Source organism: Homo sapiens, chromosome 2 (assembly GCF_000001405.40).
Source record: "Homo sapiens chromosome 2, GRCh38.p14 Primary Assembly".
NCBI classification, from domain to species: Eukaryota; Metazoa; Chordata; class Mammalia; order Primates; family Hominidae; genus Homo; species Homo sapiens.
Genome location: NC_000002.12, coordinates 28,550,096 through 28,562,951, shown reverse-complemented (window position 1 = coordinate 28,562,951; position 12,856 = coordinate 28,550,096). Strand labels below are relative to the sequence as shown.

The following is a 12,856-nucleotide window of genomic DNA, read 5'->3' as shown; positions in this document are numbered from 1 at the left end:
ATAACAAAGAAAAAGTCAGTTTTTACCACCAAGACACCTTGGATAAAAGATAGGAAAAACCCATCCTTGTCAATGGGCTCTGCAATGCCAGCTGTGGAGTCTGAGTGCTGGCTTCCTCTCTGGGGCACCTGGACACAGGAACAGGAAGCTGAAAGGTGGATCCTGCTTTAAGTGGGGAGCTGTGCTCGCATTTGGTGGGACCAGATGCTACAAGGCGAGTGGTGGCAGGCCCTTGGCAAGGTGATTTGGGAGGAGGGAAGAAATTGCCATGGAAATGCAACCAATACTTAATCTATTCTAGGATCTGATATTTGGGATAAAATATTACATCATCCTATAAAAATCAGTTCAGTTTCTCTAAAGTGAAAAAGGAATACTTTTATGCCACTGACTTTTTTTTTTTTTTTTTTTGAGACAGAGTCTTGCTCTGTCTCCAGGCTGGAGTGCAGTGGTGCAATCTTGGCTCACTACAACCTCCGCCTCCCAGGTTCAAGCTGTTCTCCTGCCTCAGCCTCCTGAGTAGCTGGGAATACAGGTGCACATCACCACACCTGGCTAATTTTTGTATTTTTAGTAGAGACAGGGTTTCCCCATGTTGGCCAGGATGGTCTCGATCTCCTGACCTTGTGATCCACTTGGCTTGGCCTCCCAAAGTGCTGGGATTACAGGCGAGAGCCAACGCGCCCGGCCGACTGTTTTTTAATTGAGATGAAATTCATATAACTAAAATTAACCATTTAAAGGTGAACAGTTCAGTGGCATTTAGTCTATTCACAATGTTGTGCAACTATCACCTCTATCTAGCTTTGAAACATTTTCATTACCCCAAAATGAGACCCTATAACCCATTAAGTGGTCACTCTCCATTTCTCCCTCCTCCCAGTCCTTAGTAACCAAAAACTTGCTTTCTGCCTCTATGGATTTATCTATTCTGGATATTTCATGTACATAGAATCATATAATATGTGACTTTTTATGTTTGGCTTCTTCTATTTTGCATAATGTTTTCAAGGTTCATTTGTTATAGCATGTATCAATACATTCATTTTATTTTTATCTTTTGAGACAAAGTCTCACTGTGTCACCTGGGCTGGAGTGCAGTGGCTCGTGATAATGGCTCACTGCAGCCTCGACCTCCCGGGCTCAAGTGATCCTCCCACCTCAGCCTCCTGAGTAGCTAGGATTATAGGTGTGTACCACCATGCCCAGCCAATTTTTTATTTTTTTGTAGAGAGAGCCTCCCTATGTTGCCAGGCTGGTCTCGAACTCCTGGCCTCAAGTGATGCTCCCACCTCAGCCTCCCAAAATGCTGGGATTACAGGCATGAGCTACAGAGCCCAACCACTTCATTCCTTTTTATTGTTGAATGATATTCCATTGTATGGATATACCATACTTTTGTTTATCCATTCATGCATCGATAGGCATTTGGGTTATTTCCACTTTTGGGCTATTGTGACTAGTATTGCTATAAATATCTGTGTACGAGTGTTTGTTTGAATGCCTGTTTTCAATTATTTTGGTATACACCTGAGAGTGGAATTGGTGGATTATATGGTAATCCTATGCTTATCTTTTTGAGGAAGCATCAAGCTGTTTTCCACAGCTTGACTATACATATTTTTATCTTTTGAGTTTGAGCATTCCGTGTGATGTGGCAGCTATTAACTCACAGGACAAACATGTTGAACACGAAGCAGTGGCTGGGTGCTTTGGAGACCACACAGTGATCAGAAACAGAGAATGCCCTCAAAAAGCTCACAAGCTAAGGAGAAAATGAGAAATAGCCATAGTTATTATAGTGTAAGACCGATAAACACTAAAAGAGGTGTGAAGTGATGTGAAGCTATAGAGCTGGAGGGATGATCTTCCCCTGGGGGGCCTGAGGAGGGGGTCACAGCAGGCTTCATGGAGAAGGTCGCATTTGAATTAAGCCTCAGGAATAACAGGAGGATGAGGGAGAGCGAGATCGGGTGATGGAGGGAAAAGCGTGATGGATGGATGTGGTAGGGTCGAGCTTGGATGTCTCGAAAGCCCAGCTAGTCACAGTTTGGCTTGCATGAAGCATATATGAGAGAGCAAAGAGAAAACCACCTTGGAAAGGTAGGTTAGGGCCACAGGGCCTAACCAATATCTGGTAACCAGTAATCTGCTTTCTGCCTCTATAGATTTATCTATTCTGGATATTTCATGTAAATAGAATAATATAATACGTGACTCTTTGTGTCTGGCTTCTTCTACTTTGCATAATGTTTTCAAGGTTCAATTATGTTGTAGCATCTATCAATATATTCGTTTTATTTTTATTTTTCGAGACAAGGTCTCACTCTGTCACCTAGGCTGTGGCGTGTGATCATGGCTCACTGCAGCCTCGGCCTCCTGGGCTCAAGCGATCCTCCCACCTCAGCCTCCTGAGTAGCTGGGATTATAAGCTTTTATGCCTGGCTAACAAGTTAGGAGTTTAACATAGATATTGCTATATATGTAATTACTCACATACACACACAGGTACTACATCTACCTACCCCTTTACCTTATACACATAAGAAAGTGAATCCTAGTGTATTTGGGGGACCACCCCTAGAATTTCTTAAGCCATATATAGCTTGGTCTCTCAAGTCACAAGCTCACCTCCCACTCCCCCAATTACCTCACCCCCAAGGTCACCCTGACTTGGCCATAGCTCTACCTTTGCCGATGTGCTTCTATTGTGTCTAGTGGCACAACGCTGCACTAAATTATTGAAATAGCTCTTGTGGTTTGGAAGAAGCCTAGTACAGAGTTTGTACCAAGGAGTGGCCCACCCTGGTACATTTCAGTGGTTAAGTGCTTAAGAAGGATAAACTGAAAGTTGTCTGCAGGAGGCTTTCTCAACAGCCTTCTTTGCCAAAGACAGTTTATAAAGCCTGTAGCGTGACCAGATTACAATCCCAGCACTTTGGGAGGCCGACACGGGCAGATCACCTGAGGTCAGGAGTTTCAGACCAGCCTGTCCAAAATGATGAAACCCCGTCTCTACTAAAAATACAAAAATTAGCCAGGCATGGAGGTGTGCTCTTATAGTCCCAGCTATTTGGGAGGCTGAGGCATGAGAATTGCTTGAACCTGGGAGGAGGAGGCTGCAGTGAGCCGAGATTGCGCCACTGCAATCCAGCCTGGGAGATAGAGCGAGACTCCGTCTCAAAAAAAAAAAAAAAAAAAAAAAAAAAAAGCTTTCAGGCCTGCAGTGAAACACAGGGTGAGATGATTTTGACACAGCTGGACTATATACAACCCACAGCACCCATCAACATCCAAATCATGGCTGTGGAATTGTACCTGTGCAGGAAGCCGGATTAACATTGAGTGGAAAACATACTCAAGGGACTTCCAGGTCTCCAAGGTCTCGTCTCCTTTCATGGAGACATCTTGTCTACCTTCTTTCATGCTGTCTGCAATGGGGAGAGCCACTCCCAATGAGGATTTGCTCTCATTGGAAAAGTAAAAGTTCTTGCCTCTTCCTATGAAAGGATACAAACTCACACATACATAGTTGTAAATATATGTGTGCAAAACATATAGAGCAGCGGTCCTCCAATTGAGCCTGCATCGGAATCACCTGGAGAGCCTGTGAAAACACAGATGGCTGGGCCCCACCTTCAGAATTTTTGACTCAATAGGTCTGGGGTGGGCCCAAGGATTTGCATTTCCAACAAGTTTCCAGGTAATGCTGATGCTGCCAGTCCAGTCTGGGTACCACATTTTCAGAACCACTGATAGAGACACTCGATTATCAAAGCCATTGACTGCAGTCAAGTACTGCGCTTGGACCTGAAAAACCTGGAATCAAGCCCAGGAGGCAGAGGCTGCAGTGAGCTATGATTGCACCACTGCACTCCAGCCTGGGCAACAAAGTGAGACTGTCTGTAAAAAATTAAATAAATATTTGGCTGCGTGTGATGGCTCATGCCTATAATCCCAGCACTTAGGGAGGCCAAGTTGGGAGGATCACTTGAGCCCAGAAGTTCGAGACCAGCCTGGGCAATATAGTGAGACTCCTTCAATAAAAAAGAAAAAAAAGACTAGAGTTGTTTCTCCTGTGTGTATGTATAAATTGTCTTGTGGCCCTCACAACTGTAGCTGCCACTGCACAGCCTGATGACAACTCTGCCTCTTAGATTCAAGAGCTGCTGACTATCCTTCTTCAGTGTTCTTTCTCCTCCCCACCGCCATGCCTTGAATCCACCCTTACACACACACACACACATACACACACACCATGAACACATGCACCATGCACATATGCACCATGCACACATGCACCCTTCCACATGATTACAGCCTGCTTGGCTCTTCCCAGCCATCCACAGCTACACCATGTGGTTAGAAGAACAATAGCAAATCACAAAGCCAGCTGCACACATTAGCGCGTGTCCATCAGGCTGTGCAGGAGAACTTTAAAATGACCTCTTCTCAAAGAAATCACGCAATGGGGTTAAAAAGGCAACAAAACAAAAAATAAGACCTTTTCCCTCCAACTCTAGAGTGGTTTATTTTAGCTTCTGGTGATAACAGTCAAACACTGTATTCTTACTGCCATAATGCATCATACAGTGAATCCTGTGAACACTAGCTCGTATGCAAATGTTAGGGGAAATCCTTGGGACTGGGTAAAATATGGCAGAGATAGATAAATTTGCTTCAAAAATATTATCATTACAGTTTGCTAAAGAGGCAGCTGAAACCTACCATTCCTGTCTCCTAAATTTGTAGCAGGCAGAAAACACATAGACACACACACACACACACACACACAGAGACACACACACCCCCCTATGTTTATGTCTGTGTGTACATACATATGTATAGATAGACTGATTGGTCTATGGCCATACCGCCCTGAAAGTGCCTGACGTCATCTGATAGATTGGTTGATTATGGTGGGGGTGGTTCTCCAGTTGGCCATTCTGAAGGAATCTCAGCAAGAGATACAGTAATAAACCAGATGAAGCAAACCTGGGTGGGAGGAGTTGACTTCATCTGTGATCTTATTGTTAAGATAGAGCACATCACATTTCACTGGCCTAATTTTCCGTAGACCTTGATTTGAGGTTTGTTAATGTCATCATTAATGACACACACAGCTTAGAAATACAGTAAAGCACTTTAGCAGTTGCTCTCCCTGGAAAAAGAACTATTTAGTGATAAGATTAAATTTGTGTGGGCTGATTAGCTAAACATTATCTGGTACAAATTGTCCACCACCTTGAGAGAAGCTGATAAACACATCATTAACTCATCACGATTTCTACAGAGGGGACCTCTTATCAGAAGGCCATCCAAGCCATGACGAAGCATCACAAATAGCAAGGAAATTGCACACTAGACTGTAGAATGGGGACACTGCCCACTGTACATGGAAGGTTATACCCAGGAGAAAGGCTTGGCATGCTAGGGCTTTGTCTTGTGTAACCCAGCAACTTAAACCACCTGGGGCCCTAATCTGAAAAACATGCTTTCTCTCAATTGTCACCAAGCATTGCCCAACCTATTTGCCGTCTGATTTTAGGGACTTACATTAAGACTTCCACAATGGCAGTAAGCAGCTGCCTCAAGATTGGAACGATGTTTTGCCTTTGGAGTCTTCGGTGTGAGTTTCCATGAACCAATGCGTGCCTTCCACAGAGGAGCTCAAGAAACGTGTTAACTGGAATTAAAGGCTAAGTGACTCTGTGACAGGGACTTTACAGATCTCGAAGTTTTAGATGATGAAAACCAAAGGGCAGGGAAACACTTCTCTAAGTGTCTTGGGGGAGTTTGAACTCGCTCAGTAGCCTGGTTGTGTCCAGGGACAAGCAGGCTGTTATTTCCCACAGGGCATCATTCCTTCCTGATGATAGGGTAGGTCAAGTCACAAGACCCCTGAGTAGGTGGTGACCACAGAGACGGCCTCATGACCTACACTGAACATTGCACTGCTGGCTCACGATGAGATGATGCCCGTGGTGAATGACCACCCAGTGCTGTAACCCGGCCATTTTTCATATTGGCTTTTGAAGAGCTGATTTTAGCCAAATGGGTCAAATCAATGACATCAGGGACTTAGCAAGGAATTGATGGCTTAAAATAAATGAATGAACTGTTCTGGTTTATACTATTGGTGACAGCAGCATGTAATTAGCTTTGTGGATCCCTATTTGCAAAAGCTCTGAATTTTTCCCACTGTGTGGAATTTGCCATCAACATAGCCACCTTCATCAGAAAGTCAATAAGCCATGTCCCCTGTGACTCCTCATTGTCACTCTTTTATTTTCAAAAAGTGACTCCTTTTCTCGCTGGGAAAATCCTAAGCTCACTAGTAGGCCCAATATGTTTTTCTTGGTTATGCTAACTATGTTAGGGAGAGGGCCGTCTAGCAATGGAGCATGATATGAGTGTTTACAAAGTTATAAAGTCCATAGGAGAGAGCACTTGGCAAATTGCATCTATGTGCTGACTAGGAGGAAAAAGTTGCAAGTTTTTAGTTTTTACTGGCTACCCAATACCAACTGATTATAAAAAATCACTTACATTAACTCTATGTATCTCATCCTAGGGCCCCGTAAGTCAGTGGATAAAGCACATCACTCACGAGCTCTGAAGTGTACTCAGAATGAGGCACCCAAGTTGCCAGGGCCATGGCCTGTTGATGACAGGTTGCATCTCATTTTGAAACATCACTTTTAATGATGTTTAGATGCATGTATCTGTGGTCAGTTTGGAGAAGCACTAGAAAATGAGACTATAAAGAAGGTTTTTGAAAATAACTTTGGACCAGTATGGTAGCTTATGCCTATAATCCCAGCACTATGGGAGGCTGAGGTAGGAGGATCATTTGAGCCCAGGAGTTCAAGGCCAGCCCGGGCAACATAGTGAGACCTTGTCTGTACAAAAAATAAAATTAGCTGGACATGGTGCATGGGCCTATAGTCCCAGCTACTTGGGAGGCTAAAGTGGGAGGATCTCGAGCCAGGGAGATCAAGGCTGCAGTGAGGTGAGATCGCACCACTACACTCCAGCCTGGGCGACAGACTGAGACCATCTCAAAAAAGAAAAAAAAAAAAAAAAAAGGAAAGTAACTTTGAAGGCAAAATGCAAAACAGTTATTGTAAAAGATATTCCTAGTGAAAAATTCTTTTAATGAAAGGCATTTTGGTCTAGTTGATTTTTCAATACCTTTTTCAATCCTAGGGATTGTTCATCTGATGATTTAGAAATGCTCATTCAGATTAGTTCAGCAAATATTTATTGGGCTTCTACCATGTGCTTGAGTCACTGGAGGTATAAAGATAAGATGATCTCCTCTTATAAGACATATATCAGATTATTTTGATTAGAAATTGCAAACATGATCTCCAGAAGAGTGTATGACCTCACCAGAAATATATGATTAATATCAAAGGAAAATAATAATATGCACCTGTGCTGTCTTTTTACCTACCCCATCAGTCACAAGGATAGTTAGAATGTTCAGTCAAGATCACTGGCACATGGCTGGGTGCAGTAGCTCATGCCTGTAATCCCAGCACTTTGGGAGGCCACGGCGGGTGGATCACCTGAGGTCAGGAGTTCAAGACCAGCCTGGCCAACATGGCGAAACCCTGTCTCTACAAAAAATACAAAAATTAGCTGGGCATGGCGGCAGGCACCTATAATCCCAGCTACTTGGGAGGCTGAGGCAGGAGAATCGCTTGAACCCAGGGGGTGGAGGTTGCAGTAAGCGGAAATCACGCCACTTCACTCCAGCCTGGGTGACAGAGCAAAACTCTGTCTCAAAAAAAAAAAAAAAAAAGATCACTGGCACAATAATGAAATGTATTTTTCATTATTGGCCAGTTAACTGTGACCATTTTTCTGAATGACACTTTCCAGGTGAGACTCAGAAGTGCAGGCCCAACACTCATCTATGAGTGCTGATTCCAGGTGGAGAGCGAGTGTTTGGGTCCCATGCTCACCTTGGTCAGATCGAGGAGCCTAAATCTACCCATCTTGTTATTATATAAATGGCTCCTGTCACCAGAGGATCTCAGATTTTAAGGCCTTGAGATTTCTTGATCTTTAATCTTCAAGTACTGATAAACACACTAATCTTCAGGGTCAAGGAATAAGGAAGAGGTTTACATTTTACCCAGCTTTTAGATGTTGAGATATGCTCTAATGAGATTGGCTGGTTATCACTTTCATGACAGAAACATCATCTAGACAGATTATAAAATGCTTTAGAGAGCATTCTTTCAGAATAAGATTAAAAAGGGAATGGATATTACTTTGCTGTAAATGTGTGTGGCTATTAAAACTTTCAGATGTTCTCTCTAGACCAGGTGAGCTGGTTTATGCCTGTAATCCCAGCGCTGGAGGATCGCCTGAGCCTGGGAGTTCAAGACCAGCCTGGGCAACAATAAGACCCCATCTCTTAAAAAAAAAAAAAAAAAAAAAAAAAAAAAGGCAGGTGTGGTGATAATGCCTGTAGTCCTAGCTACTTGGAGGCTGAGGCAGGAGGATCACTTGAGCCCAGGAGGTTGAGGCTGCAGTGAGCCACAATCATGCCACTGTACTCCAGCCTGGGCAACAGAGTAAGACCGTGTTTCAAAAAAAAAATTTCTCTCTCTCTCTCTATATAGACATATATATACACACATCTATCTATATAAACACACATCTATCTATCTGTATCTATACCTAATCTATCTATTTTTGAGTAAGGGTATTTATTATAGGAGGGTCTACATATGAAGCTGATGATTTATTTCTGCTAATAAAGTCCTGCTAGTTAACTAATAGGAATGAGTTGGCACCATGTATGAGGGGAAATAAAGACTAAATGTGTATATGTAAGATCTACATCCCCTATTCCATCCTTCTACAACTTAGAACAAGAGTCAGTTATATACCGAGGTTTTGGTTAGAATATTTTTAACTTTCCTGCCAGCCATGTGTCTTAGTTGGAGTGTGGAGAGCTACGGCATGTGTGAAGGGCAGCCAAGCATTTATTTGCTCTCCTGATGCTCAGCACAAGGAGACAATCTGACTACAAAGATTTGCATCCCCAGAAGATTCTTGCTAGGCACTGTGACATCCCCAAACTTAATTTTCTGTTTTTTATAATCCTGAGGCCATGAGAAACAATAGATTCATTAGAATGTAAACTCCTGAAGGCAAGGAGGCACTCAACAATCCTCTAACACACAAATGAGTAAATAAACGAACAAATAAATGGACACGTGAGTCCCCCCCCTTTAGGACCAAGCATGGGAATCTATAACACTGCTACAGATGCTCCTAGGCTGATGTTTTGAGTCACTCAGGTCACCAGATGGCCATGACTTCCCAAGGTTACATGCCCATAGCTATCACACCCAGGCTACCTTGCCTGGAGGCAAAGGTACAGCCCTCAGGCAGACCGTCTTTGGGAAGGTTGCTGATGACTGCCTAGAACACCCCATTTTATGGCCCAGCAACAGACATTTTAGAAATACTGAGAGGCAGTGAAGATGGCGCGTTCATAAGATGACGTGCTTTCCTGCTCTGCGTGGTGTTTTAGTGCATTCTGTGTGTGAGTGAATCTGCAGGCAACTCAGACAGGGACTATGGACTGGCTATTTTTGCTTTCTGCTTAAAGGTAGTTTTGCTCTTTTGGAGAACAAATCCACCCATCAAGGCGTCAAGGCAGGGACGATGACAACTCACACAACTAACATTGGGTTCTTTGCAGAACATGGCCTGGTACAGGGTTACTGCTCAATAAATGCTTTCTGATAATGATATCACATTTTAGTTAAAGAATAGTCAAACACAGCCATGGCTTTACAAATATACATACAGAGTTATTTCTGTTGTCCCTGAGAAACCACTCGGGAGTATTTCAGGTTATGTGGAAAGCCCTTACTTGGATGATTTCAGGCCTCGAATGAATTTTAAAATCACTGGGTGCAAGCTGTGTACCTGAGGTGGGAACCGTATCGGAGGGGTCTTTGTCAGGACATCTGATTTCCGCTCCTTCTCTTACCTGAAATGAGACACACAGGGAAATAAGGAAAATGGATTTTTCTAAACTGGAAATGGGTGAGAAGTGGGGCCTCTATTTTGGAAAACATCATTTAAGATAAAGTAAAACTTTGATGTCATTTAAGATTTCTCCCTCTCCTTCAACACTCATATCCAATTGTCCACATCTTTTCCAAGTGCTCCCAAATCTGTTCCCTCTGCTCCAGTGCCTCTGCCTCCACCTAAGTTCAGGCCTTTGTTATTTCTTGCCAGGATATTGCAATGATTCACCAGCATCATGGCCGTCTGCCCCACAGACTTGCTCCTCACCCTCTGAATCTATCCAGAGTGGTCATTCTCAACGTGATCTGATGTGTCACTCCTCTGCCCAAGTTCTCAATGAAGGCAGGGATTTTTATCCATGTTGTTTGTTATTGTGTCCCCAGAGCCTAGAACAGTGCCTGGCATAGCAGATGCTCAACAAGTATTTGTTAGTTGAACAAATAAGTTACTACACCATATTAACTTCAGCAAAAAGTCCAATCTCCCTAGCATGGCCTAAGAGGCCTCTAAATATTCTAAACCACCAGCCCTTGACCTAAGTCTCCATATTTCCCTGCATCCAGGCCTTTGCCCAAGTAGTTACCCTCTCCCCTTTCACTTTCCTTTCTTCTATTTGCTCACCCTCCCATCAATCTGCCTCAGCCTTAGTCACCCTTCAAGACTGAGGTCGTGGGTATCCTTTGGAAAGCCTTCTTCAACTTTCTCCTGTCTAGGTTAGTTTCTCTTCCTCTGTGTTCCCAGAATACCCCATGAAAACATGCATTACAGTACCTATTATAGTACCATTGTGCTATAATTGCCTGTTGACTTGTCTATTTCTCTACCAGACTGAGTTCCTTGGGACAAGTCCTATTTTTTATTTACATTTTAATCTCTCATACCTGGTATCCATCCATCCACCTATCCATTCATTTTTTCATTCAACAAATAGTTATTGCTGCCTACCCTGAGTTCCTGCCTCACTGAGCTTGCATTCTAGTGGTACACAGCAGATAGTCAATAAATGTGTCCTGAAGAAATGTATCACTGCATTTATCCAATGATAATGATAGCAATACTTATATAGAACTCATGGTATGCTAGATTCTATTATAAGTGCTTTATACTTACTGACTTATGACATTAATAACTCCGCAAGGTACGACTATTACTGTCATTATTTCCCAGGTTAAAAAACTAAGGCACAGAGAGGTTAAGTATCTTGCTCATTGACACAGAGCCCATAAGTGAAAGAGTCTGCATCTGAACCCAGAGCTGGTTACTTTACCTCACTGTGCCATGCTGCGTCTCAGGTGTATGCTCATTGCTATGCTGGTTAGTGTGAGTCAAGTTGATAAATCGAGTCTTTCACACTGTGTCTGTCAGGGTGGAAGCCCAGGCCATCAACTCTGCCTCCACTATTTGGAGCAAATCTCACCCTTTTCCATAAAATAGGGAGGGAAGAATGTCACTAGGACCAAATTTGTCTCAGCTCACCTCAGTCCCCCCTTCTCTGGGAAAGAAGACATCAACCCTTGAGTGTTCCTTGCTTTCCCAGAGGAGTGCAGGGTGCCCTGCCTAATCTCCATGGGAAGTCTCAGGGAGACTCCTGAGAAAAGCAGTGAGCAAGGCATGAGCGCCCGTCAGGGGCCCCCTACCAGTGTGGACCCACTCAAGGGCTTTCGAGCTCCACACAATCTGGGTTCAGACCTCACCACAATTCTCCGCTCTTTCTTAATTTTCTCTTCAGATGAAGTTCTCAGATGATTTTAGAAGAATTTGTCAGAGATTTGGGAAGGGTCAGAAGAATCTGTCTTACATCAAAACAGATTGGGAACAGGAGGTGCTGGGCAGTGCAGACACTCTGTCAAGCCTCCCATGCTGGTTGCGGAGGCAGCTCGGAAGATGAACTGTGGGGGAGACCTGCTTCCAGGCACCCAGGGGATGGCCACATGCTGGATCCTTCTCCCTCCCCCAGCCTGTCCTGACTGAACATCAGCGGTTAGTAGCAGACCTCCATATGCCTAGGGGCAGCGGGAGTTCCAGGATGTTAAGAACCACATGGAATGGCTGGGCGTAGTGGCTCACATCTGTCACCTCAGCACTTTGGGAGGCTGAGTTGGGTGGACCATGAGGTCAGGAGTTCGAGACCAGCCTGGCCAACATGGTGAAACCCTGTCTCTACTAAAAATACAAAAAAATAGCCGGGTGTGGTGTTGCGCGCCTATAATCCCAGCTACTCAGGAGGCTGAGGCAGGAGAATCGCTTGAACCCAGGAGGCTAAGGTTACAGTGAGCTGAGATCACACCATTGCACTCCAGCCTGGATGACATAGCGAGATTCTGTCCCCGCCCTCCTCCCACCAAAAAAAAAAAAAAAAAATTGTATTGAGGTTGCAAATCTGGCCAGTTGATCTGCTTTAAAATAATCCAGGCTGGGCGCCGTGGCTCACATCTGTAATCCCAGCACTTCGGGAGGCTGAGGCAGGCAGATTGCTTGAGGTCAGGATTTCAAGACCAGCCTGGCTAACATGGTGAAACCCCGTCTCCACTAAAAAAAATACAAAAATTAGCCAGGCATGGTGGTGTGCGCCTGTAGCCCCAGCTACTCAGGAAGCTGAGGCAGGAGAACTGCTTGAACCCAGGAGGTGGAGGTGGCAGTGAGCCGAGATGGCACCACTGAACTCCAGCCTGGGCAACAGAGTGAGACTCCATCTCAAAAGAAAAAAAAAAAAAAACCACGTGGAAGGTTCGAAAGATTCAGCAAGAAGTACAGCCCCTGGTTCATCTGCATGTTTGTCAATTACAGAAAA

General features: G+C 44.0%; 1 protein-coding gene across 2 annotated transcripts in view, besides 2 other annotated features; it reads right to left on the bottom strand.

The window, feature by feature from the left end:
- Positions 1–12,856, bottom strand: part of PLB1 (phospholipase B1) — a 148,083-nt gene that overhangs the window by 81,191 nt on the left and 54,036 nt on the right. For both annotated transcript variants that reach the window (NM_001170585.2, NM_153021.5), the window contains exon 17: positions 9,961–10,024. In NM_001170585.2, coding sequence (NP_001164056.1) covers positions 9,961–10,024 — 64 coding nt within the window. The remainder of the gene's footprint in view (positions 1–9,960; positions 10,025–12,856) is intronic.
- Positions 12,256–12,550: an enhancer, noted in NCBI's record as "tiled region #13650; HepG2 Activating non-DNase unmatched - State 22:ReprW". NCBI's record gives its function as "activates a minimal TATA promoter and a strong SV40 promoter by Sharpr-MPRA in HepG2 cells {active_cell/tissue: HepG2}" and the evidence as "EXISTENCE:reporter gene assay evidence [ECO:0000049][PMID:27701403]".
- Positions 12,294–12,494: a silencer, noted in NCBI's record as "peak3640 fragment used in MPRA reporter construct". NCBI's record gives its function as "represses an SCP1 promoter by STARR-seq MPRAs in K562 erythroleukemia cells {active_cell/tissue: K562}" and the evidence as "EXISTENCE:reporter gene assay evidence [ECO:0000049][PMID:32103011]".